Below are 18,107 nucleotides of genomic sequence, written 5' to 3'. Positions count from 1 at the left end.
TATTTTGAAACGACAAAATTATATAACTTGAAGAAAATGAAGATCATCTTAGTTGGTCTCATAATTTTGCCTGTGGCTTCTACAGAGAGAATTTTCTGGGTGACTCTCCTAGCTAGATATAGAGTGGGAGGGCTGCTGTAGCATCATTCAGTGCTTTTCCCCAACAGCTGGTCAGATATTTTCTGATAGCCTTCATATCTCCCATCATTTTCTCCATGTCTTTCAGTTATTCCTCTTCTGATATAGTTTCTGGGATTCTAGTTTCAACATACTTTTGAGATCCCTCTAGTTTCTGTGTTTTGTTGAAAGGTATGACATTCAGGATGGAACCCAGTACTTCAGGCAGCAGATGACCCAGCACAGTTTATTTTAGTAGACATTTGGAGAAATGTATATGTGTGTGTGTGTGTGTGTGTGTGTGTGTGTGTATATATATATATATATATATGTTTATTTATTTATTTATTTATTTTTTATTTATTTATTTTTTTTTTTGAAACAGAGTTTCGTTCTTTCACTCAGGCTGGAGTGCAGTGGGGCGATCTTGGCTCACTGCAACCTCTGTCTTCCAGTTTCAAGTGATTCTCCTGCCTCAGCCTCCCGAGTAGCTGGGAGTATAGGCCCCCGCCACCACGCCTGACTAATTTTTCTATTTTAAGTAGAGACAGGGTTTCACCATGTTGGCCACCCTGGTCTCGAACCCCTGACCTCGTGATCTGCCCGCCTCGGCCTCCCAAAGTGCTGGGATTCCAGGTGTGAGCCACTGCACCTGACCTGACAACAATATTTTTTAAAATGCAAATGAAATTACTAATAGTAATGAAATTAGCACTCATACCACCTTCCATCATTCTTCTCTTGTGTTTCTGGAGTCAGCACTACCAGGGTCTTTTTGTCTGTCCTTGAGTAAAGCTGTCTAAAGTCACCTTTTTTTAGTATTTTTCATTTTCCTATTGGCATTTCCTTGTCTCTTATCTTGTTAAGACCCATACAAGAAAATCTTTCCCAAAAGATTATTTTTAATAAACTGGTGCTAGATTGTTTCACATTCTTATTCCATTCTAATATCCTGACAGAGACAGTATCCATGTCCTGTAAGCACACCAGATCTAGGCAGGCAGCGATGCTATTAGACCCATGGAAAGTTGTTACACTGTCTTTCAGAGCATTTAATGACAGCCCACTTTGATCTATGTTCCAGTGCAGCTAAAACTGGTGTTTGTAGGGCAGAAAAGCTTTTCTTTGGCTTTATAACTGATTGTTGTTGATAGTCAGGGGATTTGAGTCATTATTAGAAGGCACGTAAAGAGGGTAGACTATGGTCAATGTTAGCCTCAGACTATATTTTTTCTTTGAAGATGTTTCCAATTTTGCTATCAATGTCAGGATCCTATAAGGACCAACAGTACTCTAAGTGATGTACTAGCAGAATGAAATTAGACCAAGAAATAATTTAGGAGGCTCACCTAACTCTCTGTCATGTCAGTATCCCATCAGTCACTGGTTAACAAGACAAACTTGTGTATTTCACTTTCAGGTAGATAACTTGAGCCATTTTTTTGATATAATTGGTTTTATTATTCTACAACTTTGTTAACAACTCTTATATTGAGTCAAGTTTTTACTTAAAATTTTTGCTCCCTTAACTTACCAAATAAATATGTAAGAGGTTGGAGTAAAGATATAATTTATATGCACATTGAAACACACTTTCCTAGTTCTTTAATTTGGTGACATTAAGTCAATTTAAAAAAATAATTTTCTTGAATTTCTTAAGTTGAATGAGCTATTAAAAAATCTCATTCAAAAGGGCTCATTTTATATGGTCTTTTAACTAATATTTCAGGGAAGTGAAGAAGTATAAAGTATTCTATAACTTATACAAGGCTTCTTCCCTTGGACCCCAGGATGTCAATTCCACTCTATTTGCCACCCACCACACTGTCCACTCCTCAGTCTCTTGTCTGTTTTCTCTGCACCTTCCCAACTTCTAAATATTGGAGTGTGCCAGGCTCAGACTTTGGAATGGATCCCTTCTCTGTCTATAGTCACTGTTTGCTAATCTCATTTACTCTCATAACTTTCTATGGTTCTCCTGATGTCTAGTTTCACATATTCAACTGTCTACATGACACCTCCACTTGGCTGTCTAACCTCAAACTCTTTATTCATTCCCATGCCTCACTCTAAAATAACCCCTTTTCAAGACTGTAGCATCTCTATAAATGGCAATTCTATTACTCACTCTAGGCATTCAGGCAAACCATTTTGGTGCCATCTGTAAATCTTATTTTCTTCTACCCAAAATCCAGTCCTTCCACAAATTCTGCAAGTTCTAACCATAAAATATTCCAAATTTGACTACTCCTGAACACTCCCATCACAACTACGCTACCCCAAGTACCATTCTCTCTCATTTGGATGATTGCAATAGCCTCATAACCTGTTTCCAAGCTTCTGCTCTTGTCCCTCTCTCCATCTATTCTTTATCTAGCAGCCATCATGATTGAAGGAGGTGGAAGAGGAGGTGGAGGAGATGGAGGAGAAAGGGATGAAGGGGAAAGAGAGGGAGAAGAAGGAGAAGATGATCGTCACTCCTCTGCTCAGATTCCTCCAGTGACTTCCTGTCTTGCTCAGAATAAAACCCCTGTGTGACTTAGCCTCTGCCCTATGACCACCCTTCTTCCCCTTGTCCTCTTATTCTCCCCCTAGCTAGCTATCTGTTCCATACTGTGGCCTCCTTGCTACTCCTCAGGTATGCCAAATGCATTCCTATCTCAGCAACTGTACATTTTCCAGGGATGCTGGACTTCCCTGTATCTGCATAACTTCTTCCTTTTCCTTTAGGTTTTTCCTTCAAAGTCACTCCTTCAGAGAGGGCTTTGCCAACCACCCTATATAAAATAACAGGCTCTTTTCTTTATCCTTCTTAACACTTGCTTCATTTTTCTCCATAGAATTTATTACCACCTGACATTTACATATATATATATATATATATTTATTTGTATTTCAGTAGGAACAAATGAAAGACAGGAATTTTATCTCTGTTCACTGCTGCATACCTGACCTAGAACAATGTCTCACACATAATAGATACTCAGTAAATATTTGTGAAATAAATAAATGTCATATGAAGCTAAAAATATTTTAAAAGTGGATTTGAAAACAAAGAAAATGTGGTCTGAGCATAGAATTAAGTAGGCAAACCAATGGAATGAAATGAATAGCCAGAAATAGACTTTTGCATATATAATATATTAATATATAATAAATTATCACCTATTAGTGGAAAGGGATTGGATATTTCCAGGGATTGGTGAACTTTTTCTGTAAACAGCAAAACAGTAAATATTTCAACTTTGTAGACTCCTATTGCCACTATTATGACAATTACTATAGAGAAAGGAGTCCTAGGCAATACAAACATGAATGGATCTGGCTAGATTTGATGCATGTGCTGTATTTTACCCACCCTTGGATTATTAGTAATAGAAACTCTATTAGAATAGTGGTTTTTATATATTTTGTTTACTGATGGATCTCAAGTATGTAGAATATTCTTGGCATGGAATAGACACTCAATAAAAATTGTTGATTTGAAGTAAAAATGACTGTTGATGACACTGACTATTTAGGGTGAAATGAACTCACATAATAGCAATAATTGAAATGGATTTCATGGCTAAATAGAAAAAAACCTGAACCAGTAAAAATGGATGGAAATGTAGATAATATTTATCTGTCTTTAGATGAAAGCAATAGATGAAATTAGCTAAGGAAAATCATAGCCATTTCAGTGTTTGAAAATTTAATACTTAAGTACATAAAAACATCATAAATAAAAATGAAAAATATCCTCACACTTGTAAACCCAGTGTTTTGGGAGGCCCAGTTCAGGGACTGCTTAAGGCCAGAAGCTTGAGACCCAGCCTGGGCAACATAGAGGGAGCCTGTCTCTACAAAAAAATAAGCTCGGCATGGTGGTATATGCCTGTAGTCCCAGCTACTAGGGACACCGAGGGAAGAGGATCCCCTGAGCCCAGGAGTTTGAGGCTGTAGTGAGCCGAGATCATGCCCCTGCACTCCAGCCTGGGCAACAGAGCAAGACCCTGTCTCTGAAAATAAATGAATAAATAAAACACATCAAAATTTAAATAGCTATGGTACAGTTTTAAAAAGGGTAATAACCATCACATGAAGAACTTATATGTATTTATAAGAAAAACTCTTAACAATTTAATAAGAAAATGGGAAAAACCAAACATTCATGATTTATAGAACAGGAAATACAAAAAGTTAATAAACCTCTGAAAAATGTTCAAATATTAATAATTTTTAAAATAACACAAAAAATAAGATCCAATTTTCAACCATCTAAGTTGCAAGCTTGGAAAGATAATATTAAATGTTGGTGATGGTTCAGCGTATGTATTTGCATATCCTGCTGATGAGAGTATAATTTCATGCAGCCTTTCTAAAAAGCGTTTAGAAAAACCCTTCATACTTTTCTAATGTGTCAAGTAATTTACCCTCCAAAAATCTGTCCTTGGGAAATAATTAGAAATGCTATAAAGGGTCGGGTGTAGTGGCTCAGACCTGTAATCCCAGTACTTTGGGAGGCTGAGGCAGCCGGATTGCTTGAGCCCAGGAGTTCGAGACCAGCCTGGGAAACATGGCGAAACCCTGTCTCTACAAAAAATACAAAAATTAGTCGGGTGTTGTGGCATGCGCCTGTAGTCCCTGCTACTTGGGAGGCTGAGGTAGGAGGATCCCTTAAACCTGGGAGGCGGAGGTTGCAATGAGCTGATTGCACCGCTGCACTCCAACCTGGGTGACAGAGCGAGACTCCGTACTTTTATGATAATACGATAATATGTAGTAGGAAATAGCTTAAATATTTAATATTTGACAAACGGTTAAATAAATTATTATATATCTATATGATGGATGTTAAAGTCACTGAGATTATTTTTTGAGAATTTTTAATAATGTAAAATGCTTAAGCATGAAGTATAAAAGGGAAGATGTGAAACACATAATCTAGAATGGTTTCAATTATGTAAAATATATATGGCAGAACAAAAATATTAGAAGAAAAAATTCCAACATGTTAATCATAGTCTTATCTGAATTATAGGATTATAAGTAATTTTCATTTTTCCATTTTATATTTTCTGTATTTTTCAGAGTTCCTACAATTAATATGTATTGGTATTATGAAAATGTTGTCTGTTTAAAAAAAGAATTTCGAATTCTAAGAAAGCCAGTTGAGTGTATGAGCTGATGATTCACATAAAAAGGAGATATAGAAAGCAAATGCTTGCAAAAGTTTTGGCCTCACAAATAACGGAATGCAAATTAAAATAAATATGAGATATCACCTCAGATATTTAGAGGAACATTTTTACTGTTTATGTAAAATACTAAAGTGATCTTAGGATTTGTATTCCTTATGATCAAAAGTATGTGACTGGCTCTAGAGGTGCCCTGCCCTGTAGAGTAGCCGCTTCCCAACTGTGGCTATTTAAATGTAAATTTTAATTCAGATAAGTTAAAAAAATGTAGAAATTCAGTTCCTCAGTTGCACTAGTCACATTTCAAATGTTCAGTAGGCACCTGTGTCTAATGGCTACCATATTGGACATCACAGATATAGATGATTTCCATCATTATAGGAAGTTCTGTAGGACCGTGCTGCTCAACATATGGTAACTTATTTACCATAGACGATCATCCTTGGAAGGGTAGCAGTCACTTTTAGAGCAGAAGAGAGGAAGGACATCATATATGCAAGGGGAGAAAATCAGACACAATTGTATCTAGAAATTTCACTTAACATCTGCTTGTTCAACAAATAATTTTAGAATATCTGTTATATGCTGAGGTGCTGCATGTCCAGTGGTGAACAAGACAGAGTTGTTCCTGGTGTCCAGGAGCATATATCCTAATGGCAGAGACAACATTTTACTTGCTCTTCCCACAGAAACGTTGATGGCTGCTTCCAACTTCAGTTCTTTGTGAAATGTTGCCTTATACAGAGATACCACCAAGCTGTTTAAATAAACAGGAATCCTTGACCATCCCCACCCTGCCTGCTACATTCCCTGTACCACTTGCCCTGCTTTATTTTTCTCTAGTCTGTTATTTTCTTTATTTTTACTACTTAGCATGTTATATATTTATTAATTTGTCTATTGTGTGTCTCTCTTGATTGGGAGAAAGGGTCTAATAGAGTAGGGACGTTGTTCTGTTTGATTCATTGTTCTAACTTCTAGTCTAATATGTAGCTTCAATTTAATAATTTGTGTCCTTATTACGTCTGACAAATATATAGTAAAATTCATCTGGAAGTAGAAGAAGACAAATATTTCAAAAGATGGATTTTTTTTTCTTGGAAAAGACAGTGATGGTCGACTTGGTTGTTTCAAGTTGTGAAACATATTACAGATTGGGAATCATTTCATTCTGTGGAGTTAGGTTAAAATATATTTTTTAAAAATCCATGGAGTATATTAGAGATTTGGGGAGAGATTTAGGTACTCATTAGTGACACACTATAAGACAAACCTCAGGTAACCTAGGAATGAAACAGGAATTAATATTTAATAAATGTTTTGAGGACAATTGAATATCCGTATGGAGAAAAATTAATCAGAATTCATAAATTAGGTCACCTTCATCAACAAATTGCAGATATTTTAAAGAGTTAAAAACTAGAATAAAAATGTATGGACTATTCTTTTTAAGAGGGAGTTTTTTTCTTCTTTATATTAAATATTAATAAATAGTAATGAACAAAATAAATAACAGTGCCTGAATGTTGAAAAGTAGTTTACACAATGAAATATAATGAAATATTTTAAATAGAATGCAAAAATACATATGAAATGACAATTGAAAAGAGCTCATAAAAATATGTTAAACTCATACTAAATGTGCAGTCATTAGGTTTTTGGAAAATGGTTTACAGGGCTTGAACTGTTGGTGTATGACAGAAGATAGAAATGAAATGATTCCATGAAAAAGAGGCCAACCTTGTTAACAGCAAGGGAAATGAAAAATAACTTTTAGGTATAATTAAATTGATAAAAACAATTATAATTTACTGGTATAGCAGTCAGTTCTCGTAGGAAACACATGGCACATTTCAAGAAACGAGGGCAGATTTAAGAAGGGATAGGAGAGTACTGAGGGATTTTACCACCTCTAGACCCTGAAGGCACATGGAGCAGGCATTATTACTAGATCCTGGGGAAAGCCTGGAGACATGGAGGAAGGGCTTCAGTAGCAGCTGTATCCAGAGAACACAGAAGCCCCTACAAGGAGAGGGAGATGGGGATGGAGGCAGAGGTAGAGTAGGTGCCTGACTTCTTTCTCTTCCACTCTGTAATCTCCTGCAAGAGCCTCACATTAGCTGAATACAACCAGAGCCCCAAAGCAAAAGCTATTTGGTGGTAATAAGGGACCATCCTGTGTATCTGTGGATAGTTTGTTGATAGTATTGTAAATTTATTATTTTAGAGGATCAGCCCAGCAAGCAGTATAAAACTGTCTACATACCCTCATCTGGTGATTCCTCTTTTGGTGAAATATGCCAAAAAAATCTGAAAGTGAAAACAGTAACTTTGCACAATTCTTTATAATAGCAAAAAAAAATCACATCATAAAAGATGAGCAAGAAGGAAATAACTAAGAAGATAAGAAAATGATTTGTAATATTGGTAATGTGTACCTCAACTCATTCCAAAAATGGCTTAAAGCATGATGGTGCATTAGAATTATGGAATAAATATAGCTTTTTAAAGTAAGTGTTTAGATAATGGCAGTACATAAAAGTGTTTTATAGGAAAGAATGTTATGTGAATAATATGTGCAAATGGATTAAAACTTTTAAACTATATGTATTGCACATAAAAAGATCATTTGATATGATGTAATTTTACTTGAGCCATGGCCAATCTATTGTAAAGAGAAAATAAATTAAAATAAAAGAAAATAAAGAAATATTCATATGTATGAGGATCATTTTCCTGAAAAATTTTAAAATATTTTAATAAGTGCTTCCTACATTTCTTGGCTGTCCATGATATTATAATATAAGATGCAAGGTGAAATGTTATCATTCATAGGGGACAGGAAAAACATCTTGAAAAATTATTTGAATTTCTTGTTTAAATGAACTGAGGACTAGGTTCCACATAGCTTTGTAAAACACAGACTTTTCATAACCCTGGATTTTGAAGAAAGTCTTGATCCAGAAATAGATTATTTTCATTAATCCACTGACTAAAAAGCAAATTTCTGGGTGGTTTTTTGGCAAGTGCCCAGTTGCAGAAGATGCAGTGTGGTATACTCTGATGACTCCAGAGAGCCCCACGCAATTGCATGAAATGTCACTGAATGAGGGAGGTCGTTTGTTTTGGTTATGATGGAATTGGTCTGCTACCTCTTCAACTTTATTATATTTTTAACCTATGTATCAGGAAGGTTCACTGTAAAGCCAGTGTTAGGAAGATACTAAAAGAAGTAAATCCTAATTCTTATCCATCATAGGAAGATCAATTTTATATTAGATCTGGGACCATGTAAATTAAATTAAATTTTAATCCTAGGTTAGATGTTCCAGGAATATAGCCCAACCTAAAGTTAACCTAAAACAAAATAAGAGTCCTTAATCCCTCTTTCATTTAAAAATTTACTAAATTATTAATTCATTTCACAAACGTTTGTTGAACATCTTGTGTATGCCAGGCACCATGTTATATGCTGGAACAATAACTAGAAGGTTACATAATTTGACATAATTTATTTCCGTTAATTGCACTGTTCCTGCAGTTATCCTATGAAATTAGATACCCTAAAAATCTTTAAAAACAAAGTCAGGTAGGGGTCAATTAATAGATGAGGAAAAAGTGAACTGCTCAGATGGGAAGTGACTTAGATGCAAAACAAACCCTGTTCTCTTTCTCCCGCCTCCATTTGGCAAATGCTGGCATTAGTGCTCCCAGATCTCAAAACAAAAGCCCCAGGACACATGGTTTGAGAAGGAAAATGTTCTCTTTTATGAATTTGTGTGAAAGCTTTTAAAACAATATCAGATTAAGTGACATTGACTTATTCTTTTGGTTAAGCACCTTATTGAAAATTTTTAAAAATTACATAAAAATTTGGATGGTCTAAGAACATCTGGAACATCTGGCCACCATATTACCAACCACAATTTTGTGAAAATTTAAACTTTCTTTCTCTGCTGCAGTTTTTCAGTCTTTTCTAACATTCTCTGCCCACCACTCCCACTTCTTTTTCTTTTTATCTCTATGTTTTTCTGTCTTTTCACCAGCCAACTTTTTTTCATGTGTTTTTAATTAGGTATCTTAGCTTTTGCAATTTGTTCATGCTGACATTGAAATTTACAGCAAAATGCAAAATGACCAATTACTGCCTCATTTCATCAGATGTAAAGATCAGAGCACGAGCCAGGGATGCTCTTTTCTGGTCTTTCTCCAGCTTCAGCATTGTCTCTTTGGCTGAGACCACTCTGAGAAGAATGCACGCAAACCTATACTTCCATGCTTCTTAGATAATCCATGGATGATAACATCAAAATTATTGGGAAGGGTTTGATTTATCTTCTCCTACCTTTCTGTTTTCCTCTCCAGATGCTTTCTGTGTTTGTGTCCTCCAATTTGAGTGAGGGTTGGGAGTGAAAATGTTTGGAGTTACTAACTACCATTAATCACCTTTCTTACACTTAGAATGACTGTTTCGTCTTTGGTCTCTTACATTGAGTGGAAAAGTGTTCTCCAGCAAAGCCAAGCTTGGAGGCTGAGGGAGAGGTTGGTGTGCAAGAGAAGGGAGAAGCAAATTAAAAAGAAGAGGCTGGGGGTCTGTGAAAGAATTCTGGTTTCAAGGCTGAAATGACAGGCTAACTTGATGGAGCAGCTACTGAAGATTGATACAATTATCATGATTTCAGGCTGAAATGCTTCTCTTCTCAGCAACTTTAAAAAGCAGAAGAAATGTTACTGACAACTATTTCAGGACAATTTTTAGGTGGTTCCAATACTGAATTGTGGTTTAAAAATGTGATAAAACATATTGAGTTGTTTTATTTTCTCTCCAGGTTTGCAACACAACTACAGACAGGAAACATGCAGACATCTTTTTGGAAAAGTGTGTTACTGAGTCAATAATGAATATTGTGAGCGGCTTCTTTAATTCTCCCTTTTCAGACAATAGTACCAGCCTCCAGGTAAGTTAAACAATTGCAAAGCATTCTGTTGCAAAGAGTTTCTCTTATTTGAGTAGGAGAAATTTTTTCTGGTCAGGAAGTCATCTCCTACACTTCAGATGTTTATTCTTCTCTTATATTATTTACTATTATGCCTCTTTCTGAGTTTACCAAACTTTACTTTAAATAAAGAGACCTCATCTTTAAATTGAATTATTTTTCCTTTTTCTCTAAGCAGACTAAGAACTTCATATCTGTATGTTGATTGCCAGGTGTTGAAATAACTGCACAATTAATTCTTTAAATGATAGACATTTTGCCCCTAAAGTTTTACTTTAGTAACTTATCCTAAAAGAATTAACAAAGATTTATGTACTAAAACTTCTAATTCAAATATTTGTAATACTAAAAATTTAATCAATTAAACATCCTTAAAAGGAGGAAAAGCTAAATAAATTATGATATATCTGTAGGATGGTTTATTATATAGTAATTAAAAATCATGTTTTAAAGGGAAAATTGATGACCAAGAAAATAAACATGAAGTAATATTAGGCCACTGAATTCCATTATAGTATTATCCAAATTTGTTTGTGTACAGAATATATAAACATACATGCATAAAAAAACTCAGGGAGTAAATATCTTCAAATATTGATACTATATCTCTATGTTGTAGCATTCTTGATGATTTTCATTTCTGTGGTCCACAAATATTCTACAGTGATTGTGTATAACTCTTCTAAAAATATCATTTCAATTATGCTTTCTTTAGGGAAAAATTTTAAACTATTAGATAGAACCATAGGAAATTGTTTCTGTAGTTCAAAATGGTTGTCTCCTCTACTTGCCCATCATATGAAACCAAAACAAACCAACCAACCCAGAAACACCTGCTTATTTGCTCATGGGAATAAACCATGGATTATAAAAGATATTCATGTCATTGGCTTCAGGAAATGGCATATTTTTTTCTGATTAAGAATATAATTAAAATGAAAATAATCAATCCCCTATAGTGTGTAGCATCTTGCCTCTCATGAAGAGAGTATCTAATAAATGTTTCATGAATGAGATATTTATTAACTAGCACTGAAACTTGAAAGATTGTATTTTATTTTATTTTGATGAACCTTTCTGAGAATGCATAGATGCTACATCAGGGCTGTTAATGGTTTAGCATCTCTTTTTGCCTACCTTCTTTCTGGTTTTAGACACATCAGCCAGTTTTTATTCAGCTACTGCAATCTGCCTTCAGAATTTACAATTGCACCTGGCCAAACCCAGCGCAGAAAGCCTCAGTGGAATCCTGTATCAGAACTTTGGCTGAAGTGGGTAAGTCATAGTTTGAGTTTTACTTATTTTTACATTTCTTGAAGAAATTAGGTTTTTGGCTAATGGGCAACACAAGCAGCTTCCCAATTTACAACTTAAGAAAACCAGTATGTTTTCTGTTAAACTGAAGAGCAGCCATCAGCAAATGATTCTGAATGTTGCATACTTTTTGGGAGGAGGATATAATCATTATATTAAAAATCTTAAATTTAATATTATTGCATATGGAACTTTAATATGGCTCAGTCAGATTTTAGAGGATTTTAGTTAATTGTTACCTCAGATTTCATTATGGAATTGTCTTGTCTATTAAGTGGCCTGACTTGCTAATACCTTCATATGACATAGGACTTTTTGAGGGTCTTGTAGTTTTCCAATTTTGTTTGAAGTGTGTCAATATTCAAGGCTTCAGAAATTACAAATGAAATTGAAGGCAAGGGAATTACAGCTAAAGGAAGGTGAGTAGATTCTAGAAGAGTTTCTCATAGATTCTTCTCTGTGTATGGGGGTGGGGTGTCGAGAGAGAGAGAGAGAGAGAAAGTTAATAAGTTAATTAGGGCCATTCCCCCAATGGTGGAGGGGAGAGGAGAGAAGAAATGCACACTTGGCTGTACTGAACAAAAAAGGAAGAGCTTGATCATCCTTTCAACTAATGGTGGCTCTGCAGACATTGGGAAAGGCAGTTTGTAGCGTATTTCATTATCAGTCTTCATCACTGTTAACATTTGTTGGGTACTTACCATGTGCAATGCCAGCCATTTACATGCATTATCTCATTTAATCCTTAGATAGGTTTTAAATTATTTACATTTGATAGTTAAGAAAACAGAGAGTTTTATAGGTTATGCAATTTGGCCAGGGTTATAGCATACCTCAACAAATATGTGAGAAATGAATAAATGACTTAACTAATTAATGACCATTTAAAATGTTTTTAGTCATTTCTCCCTGTTTGCAATTTGACCTAGGTTATTTTATATTAACAAAATTTAGTGACAGCCCTGATTTTGATTTGAATACAATGAAAGGCAGTTATAACCCAAGAGGCTTAATTGAAAATTAGTGGAACTAATAGACTAATAATACAGTTGACTTAAGTAATTAATTATAAATGAGTATTATACTTAACAGACTTTCTGTATACCACAAAAGAGAATGTAATATGAAAAAGACGTCATTATCAATAGCAACAAAAACATTAAACATCTAAGGGTAAACAATATGAGAGAATAAAATTTTACTATATTGAAGGATATAAAATATTTTAATAAATAGAGAAACATAATTTCTTGATTGGAAAATTCAACTGATAAAGATGCCAGTTCTCCTCAGATAAACTAATAACTTTAATGTTTCCACACCTGGAACCATTCTTTGCACATACCCTCCTCACCTCAGAGCCCACATGAGCTGGGATCCCCCTTGGTGGGCCACACCCCACAAGGATGCTGTCCTTTTGCAGCTTGGCCTCTGCTACCCTCCTATGGAGGGACATTGCCCTCATCTCTGGTCTTAGTCTGTTTTGTGCTTACTCTGTTTTGCACTGCTATAACAGATTACCTGTGACTGAGTAATTTATCAAGAATAGAGATTTATTTCTAACAGTTCTGGAGGCTGGGAAGTCCAGGATGGAGAGGCGTGCATCTGGTGAGGGCCATCTTGCTGCATCATCCCATGGGGGAAGGCAGAAGGTGGAAGGCAAGAGAGGAAAAGAGAGAGAGAGAGAGTGAAAGGAAGGGGGCTAAACTCATATTTTTATTAGAAACCCACTCCCAGGATAATTAATCCACTCATAACAGCATCAATTCATTTATGAGGGCTCTGTCCTCCTAAAAGTCCCACCTCTCACCTCTGTTTTATTGAGGATTAAGTTTCTAACACACGAACTTCGAGGGACACAATAAAGCCATAGCACCTCCCTTGGGCTGGTGCTAGGTCAGGCTGCTGCTCTGCAGGGGATCCCCTTCACCTGGCTTGGCCTCTACCTCTCTATCCTGGGCCACTCCTTTGCATGGATACACTCCTTGACTGTAACCCCCAACCCAGGCTGCTCCTCGCATGGACACCCTCCTCACTCCACTTGAGTTCTGATTCTCTGCAGGCAGTCCTCCTACATAGACCTTCCACTCCCTTTTGGGTCCCCACATTCTGGAGCGCCATGGCTCTTTTGCACATCTTACCCAGCACGGACACTTACTGCGCTGCGCTCCTCCTAAAGATTTTAGAACTGAATGGTGTGGGAGGGGAAGTGAAGAGGTACAGGAAGAGGAAGTGGTCACAATATGTATCATATCAAGAATAAAGAAGGACACACAAAAATAAAGAAGGAGAAATAAAGAAAGAGAACGTAATTTTTATTTTAAAAGGATGCACAGAAGAAAGTGTTCAGAGAGATAAATAAAATTTTAATATTGATTATCTCTGAGTGGTGGATGGATGATGTGTGGATCTGGTTTTCTTCTTCACACTTTTATGTAATTTCTGCTAATATATTACTTTCAAGTTATAATGAAACAGCAGTAAATGTATTTTTATTTGGGCCAAATCGGTTAGGAAACACACTAACCAATAAAAGATAAAATCAAAGGAAAAGCAAAGAAATATGATGGTGTTAATTTTTACATAGGAATACATTGTCTTAGCTGCTAAGTATTTTTCTTTCAGTATTTCACATATTAAGGTAGTCTCTTCTCTTTTTCCTTCTTTCTCTCTCCTCTTGTTCCTCCTCCTCTACCCCTCAATATTTAGCAAACGCAAGGCAGGGAAATACCAGTTGGCCCTACACAGGGCGTAGCGGGCATGTTGTTGATCACATGTATACATTGAGAGAAAAAGAACTTGGAGCCACAAGTGAAATTCCATGTTGTGACTGCTTTCTGAATTCTGACTTCAGTGATACTCATTGTGTAATCCAATCAGTTCATGCATAGAATTGCAGAGATTTGGGGGCTTAATATAGTTACTGAAACTATATTAGTCTAAATACATCTTTTATTTCTAAGTAATAAGACTTCATTTCCTACCATGTCCATACTGGCCAAAGCATTATAATTTAAGAGGAAATTTTAGTTCCTTTTCGTATGCTATAAAGACATGTGTGATAAGTCTAAAAAATAATTATATCGAAGGGTATAATCAAGATAGGTGAAGAGTGAGGTTTCCATATCAATCTCAGTTTTCTCTTTGTGAGAAGGCATGCCTTCTTCGTTTTCCTTGTTGGTCCCTTCCATCTGAACAGTTAAGGCTCTGGAAATTCTGTCCCCACTCTCCTTCTGCATTTGTTCTTCCCCTCCCCTTCCCCGCATCGTGGCCTCATTAACCCTTCATTACTTTCTTCTTGGACCACTGCAGGAAATTAATGTTATCTCCTTCTGTCTTTCCTTATTTAGATAAGCCTGATACCAGAGTAATCTTTCTGAAGTGAAATTCTTTGTCGGTTTAAAAAATCAACACTACATCCCCAACCTTCAGCAACATCCCTTTGCCTAACAACCTAAGGCTAGATTCCTCACTGTTACATCTAGGATGCCCCCACATGGCTCACACTAGCTTTCTCGAGTTTCCACCATTGCCACTCCTCAGCATCTTTCCCATTACTCGACTTTTTTTCTGCTCAAATTCCTCCATAGCCACCCTTGGCTCCTACATCCAAATCTGAACTCACCCCATTCGTCCACGTATGCCTTTCTTAGTGTCTGTGATATGGTTTAGACGTCTGTCCCCTCCAGATCTCATGTGGAAATGGGATTCCGACGTTGGAGGTGGGGTCTGGTGGGAGGTGGCTGGATCGTGGGGACAGATCTGTCATGAATGGTCTAGCACCATCCCCTCGGTGATAAGTGAGTTCTTGCTTGGTGAGTTCCCGTGAGATCTGGTTGTTTAAAAGTTTGGGACTTGCCCCGACTCCTTGCTCCTGCCCTCGCCACATGACCCCGTCTGCTCTCCCTGTGCCTTCCACCACGAGTGGAAGCTTCCTGAGGCCTCACCAGAAGCTGAATAGGTGCAAAGGCCATGCTTGTATGGCCCGCAGAACGACGAGTCAGTTAAAACTCTTTTCTTTATCAATTATCCAGCGCCAGGTATTTCTTTTTAGCAACACAAGAACAGCCTGATACAGTCTAATTTCATTCTAACTTACATCATCACAAGTACTATTCTTGTCTCCCATATTAGATTTTGATGGGCAACTATAAAGCAGCTGTCAAAAAGAAATTAATAGAAAGTTGTTACCTAGGATGAAGGTGAAAAGCAGATTCTGCTTAATGATGATTAGACTGTATGCTTTTTGGTTGTTTTTGGACGCTGGTCATAGAAACAGAGAACCAAAGTGGAACACATTCAGAAGTGAACCCTCAGTCGTCAAGGGATCTAAAATCACCTCACTTTAGTGATTGAAAACATTTGAAATATTTAGACAAAGAAAAGAAATCTGAGGAGGAACACAATAATTATTTTTAAACTTTTGAAGGTTAGAATAGGCTGTTTTTTTTTTTTTTTAACAGGTTCCCAAAGACAGAATTATAACTCATATATGGCAGCTGCAAGAGGCAGATTTCTGTGCTACTTGAAAAAGTAACTCTTTTGCAGTTAGTACTCTTTTAAAACCTTAGGGGTCACAGTGGATTCTTCCCTTTTGTTTACTCTCATTAAACACAGCAGCAAATTCTGTCAGACCCATTTCCAGAATCTCTCTTTTTCTTTCTCTTGTGTCACCCTTGTCCAAATCTACCATCATCGGACATGGATGACAGAAGAGTGTCCTTACTAAATGTGCCCCTGCAATCCACTGCCTGCACAGTTGTTAGAGGATCTTAACATGTAAACCTGAGCATGTCACTCACCCACTGACAACTCCCCACTGCACTTACAAAAGCCCTTCCTCATCTGAGCTGGTCTAGTCTGACCTTTTCCCATCACCCTCCATCTCCTCCAACTCTGCTCCATCCACACTGACCTTCTTTCGGAGTCTCATCTGCTTCAGGCATTTCCTCACCTGAGGACATTTGCATATGCCATTCCCTCTGTTTGGATCCTCTTCCTGGAGAATGTCACTTGCTGGTTTCCTCTGTCAGTCAGATCTCAGTTCAAAATATAAGGGCTCAGTGAAGTATTCCAGAACACCCCCCATGCAGTGTCTCAGCTTCTTCCTGCTCCTTATCATCTTAGACCATTTCATTTTCCTCTTAGCTCTTGTCACTATTTGAAAGCAGCTTGTTTGTTTATTTATTGCTTCTTTGTTGTCTGCCCCACCCCCCTTTAGCATGTAAATGATAAAAAGAGGAACTTTCCTTTCTTCACCACTGGAGCCTGAAAGTGTTTGTTCTTGACTAAGCAGATTAATAAGTGTTTGTTGACTGACAATAATCCATAGGCTGGGAGTTTCACAGAGTGAAAGTTAGGCTTAGAAAGGTTAAGTAACTTGTCCAATTAATAAGTATTTGAGTTGGGTTTGAAATCCAAGTTTCAGCCAGGCAGGATAGCTCATGCCTACAATCCCAGCACTTTGGGAGGCCAAAAACAAAATTAGCTGGGCATGGTGGTGCATACCTGTAGTCCTAGCTACTTAGGAGCTTAAGTGGGAGATCTTTACTGCCCAGGAGTTCGCAGCTTCAATGAGCTATGTTCGCACCACTACACTCCAGCCTGGGTGACAGAGCCAGACCCTGTTTCTAAAATAAATAAATAAATAAATAAATAAATAAATAAATAAATAAATGAAATCCAAGTTTCTTTTGAGTACGAATTTTATGCTTTATCATGTTGCCCCAAAAGTCCTGTCTTAGAAAGTCCTGACATATAAACTAGAACTATGGACATTTGGCTTACTGGAGTCAAAAGACAAAATTACAACAAATTTTATTTAAAGATCTAATTGCCTTTTATTTGCCACTATTACCATGTCAACCCTGTTTCTACTACTCTCACCAATACTTTCAACATGAAACTAGAAATTTAGGTTAAGTCAGACCAAGAACCTTCAAAGCCCCAAGTAAGGAAACCATACTTAATTTCTGTTAACCAAAAATAAGGACTGCAAGATCTTATCTTACATCAACTGAATGCAAATCAATCACTTTAATTGAGCTAACTCCTTCCTAGATTGGTGGGATCCAACCCCACGAAAATTTAGCCAACAGCTAAATACCCTAGTCAACTGGCTTCAGTCTACTTAACGATTCCATTCTAGAATCAAGCAGCACCTCAGTTGCTTTTTAGACAGAAAAGGGCTGAAGAAAGTAGAAACAAGGAACAAGAAGCAAATTGGCCTTTTCAAAGTTCCCTTCCTTAAAGGGTTAAAAAACATCGTGCCAAACTAGGCCCCTTTTAATGGATTGCCATGAATCTCCTGTTTTCTTGGATAAGGCCCATTTCAGAGTTCTGCTTGATTATGTGGCACTTAGCATGAATGACTTCATTCTGGCCTGGTCTGCTGGGGCCTAGTGCAGGAGGCTAGATCAAAACAATGGCCTCCCATAAAACTTTGTTGGGTGGGGATCTGTCTGACATTTTACAACTCAGGTGCAAAATTATTTTTGTG

At 36.8% G+C, this 18,107-nt stretch overlaps 1 protein-coding gene across 8 annotated transcripts in view, besides 1 other annotated feature; it reads left to right on the top strand.

Annotated features, from left to right (window-relative positions):
• ITPR2 (inositol 1,4,5-trisphosphate receptor type 2) overlaps nt 1–18,107 on the top strand; it is a 497,843-nt gene that overhangs the window by 242,913 nt on the left and 236,823 nt on the right. For all 8 annotated transcript variants that reach the window (XR_001748686.3, XR_001748687.2, NM_001414174.1 and 5 more), the window contains 2 exons: nt 10,127–10,255; nt 11,449–11,569. Coding sequence is in view for 6 of the 8 variants with exons in the window: in NM_001414174.1 (NP_001401103.1) it covers nt 10,127–10,255; nt 11,449–11,569 (250 nt within the window). In the remaining 2 variants the exon portion in view is untranslated. The remainder of the gene's footprint in view (nt 1–10,126; nt 10,256–11,448; nt 11,570–18,107) is intronic.
• Nucleotides 16,613–17,114: an enhancer, noted in NCBI's record as "NANOG hESC enhancer chr12:26726101-26726602 (GRCh37/hg19 assembly coordinates)". NCBI's record gives its function as "activates a minimal SCP1, AML or CMV promoter by ChIP-STARR-seq in naive H9 embryonic stem cells {active_cell/tissue: H9 hESC(naive)}" and the evidence as "EXISTENCE:reporter gene assay evidence [ECO:0000049][PMID:30033119]".

Source organism: Homo sapiens, chromosome 12 (genome assembly GCF_000001405.40).
Source record: "Homo sapiens chromosome 12, GRCh38.p14 Primary Assembly".
Classification (NCBI taxonomy): Eukaryota; Metazoa; Chordata; class Mammalia; order Primates; family Hominidae; genus Homo; species Homo sapiens.
The sequence above is the reverse complement of the archived record's forward strand: the minus strand, read 5'-3'. Positions and strand labels throughout refer to the sequence as shown.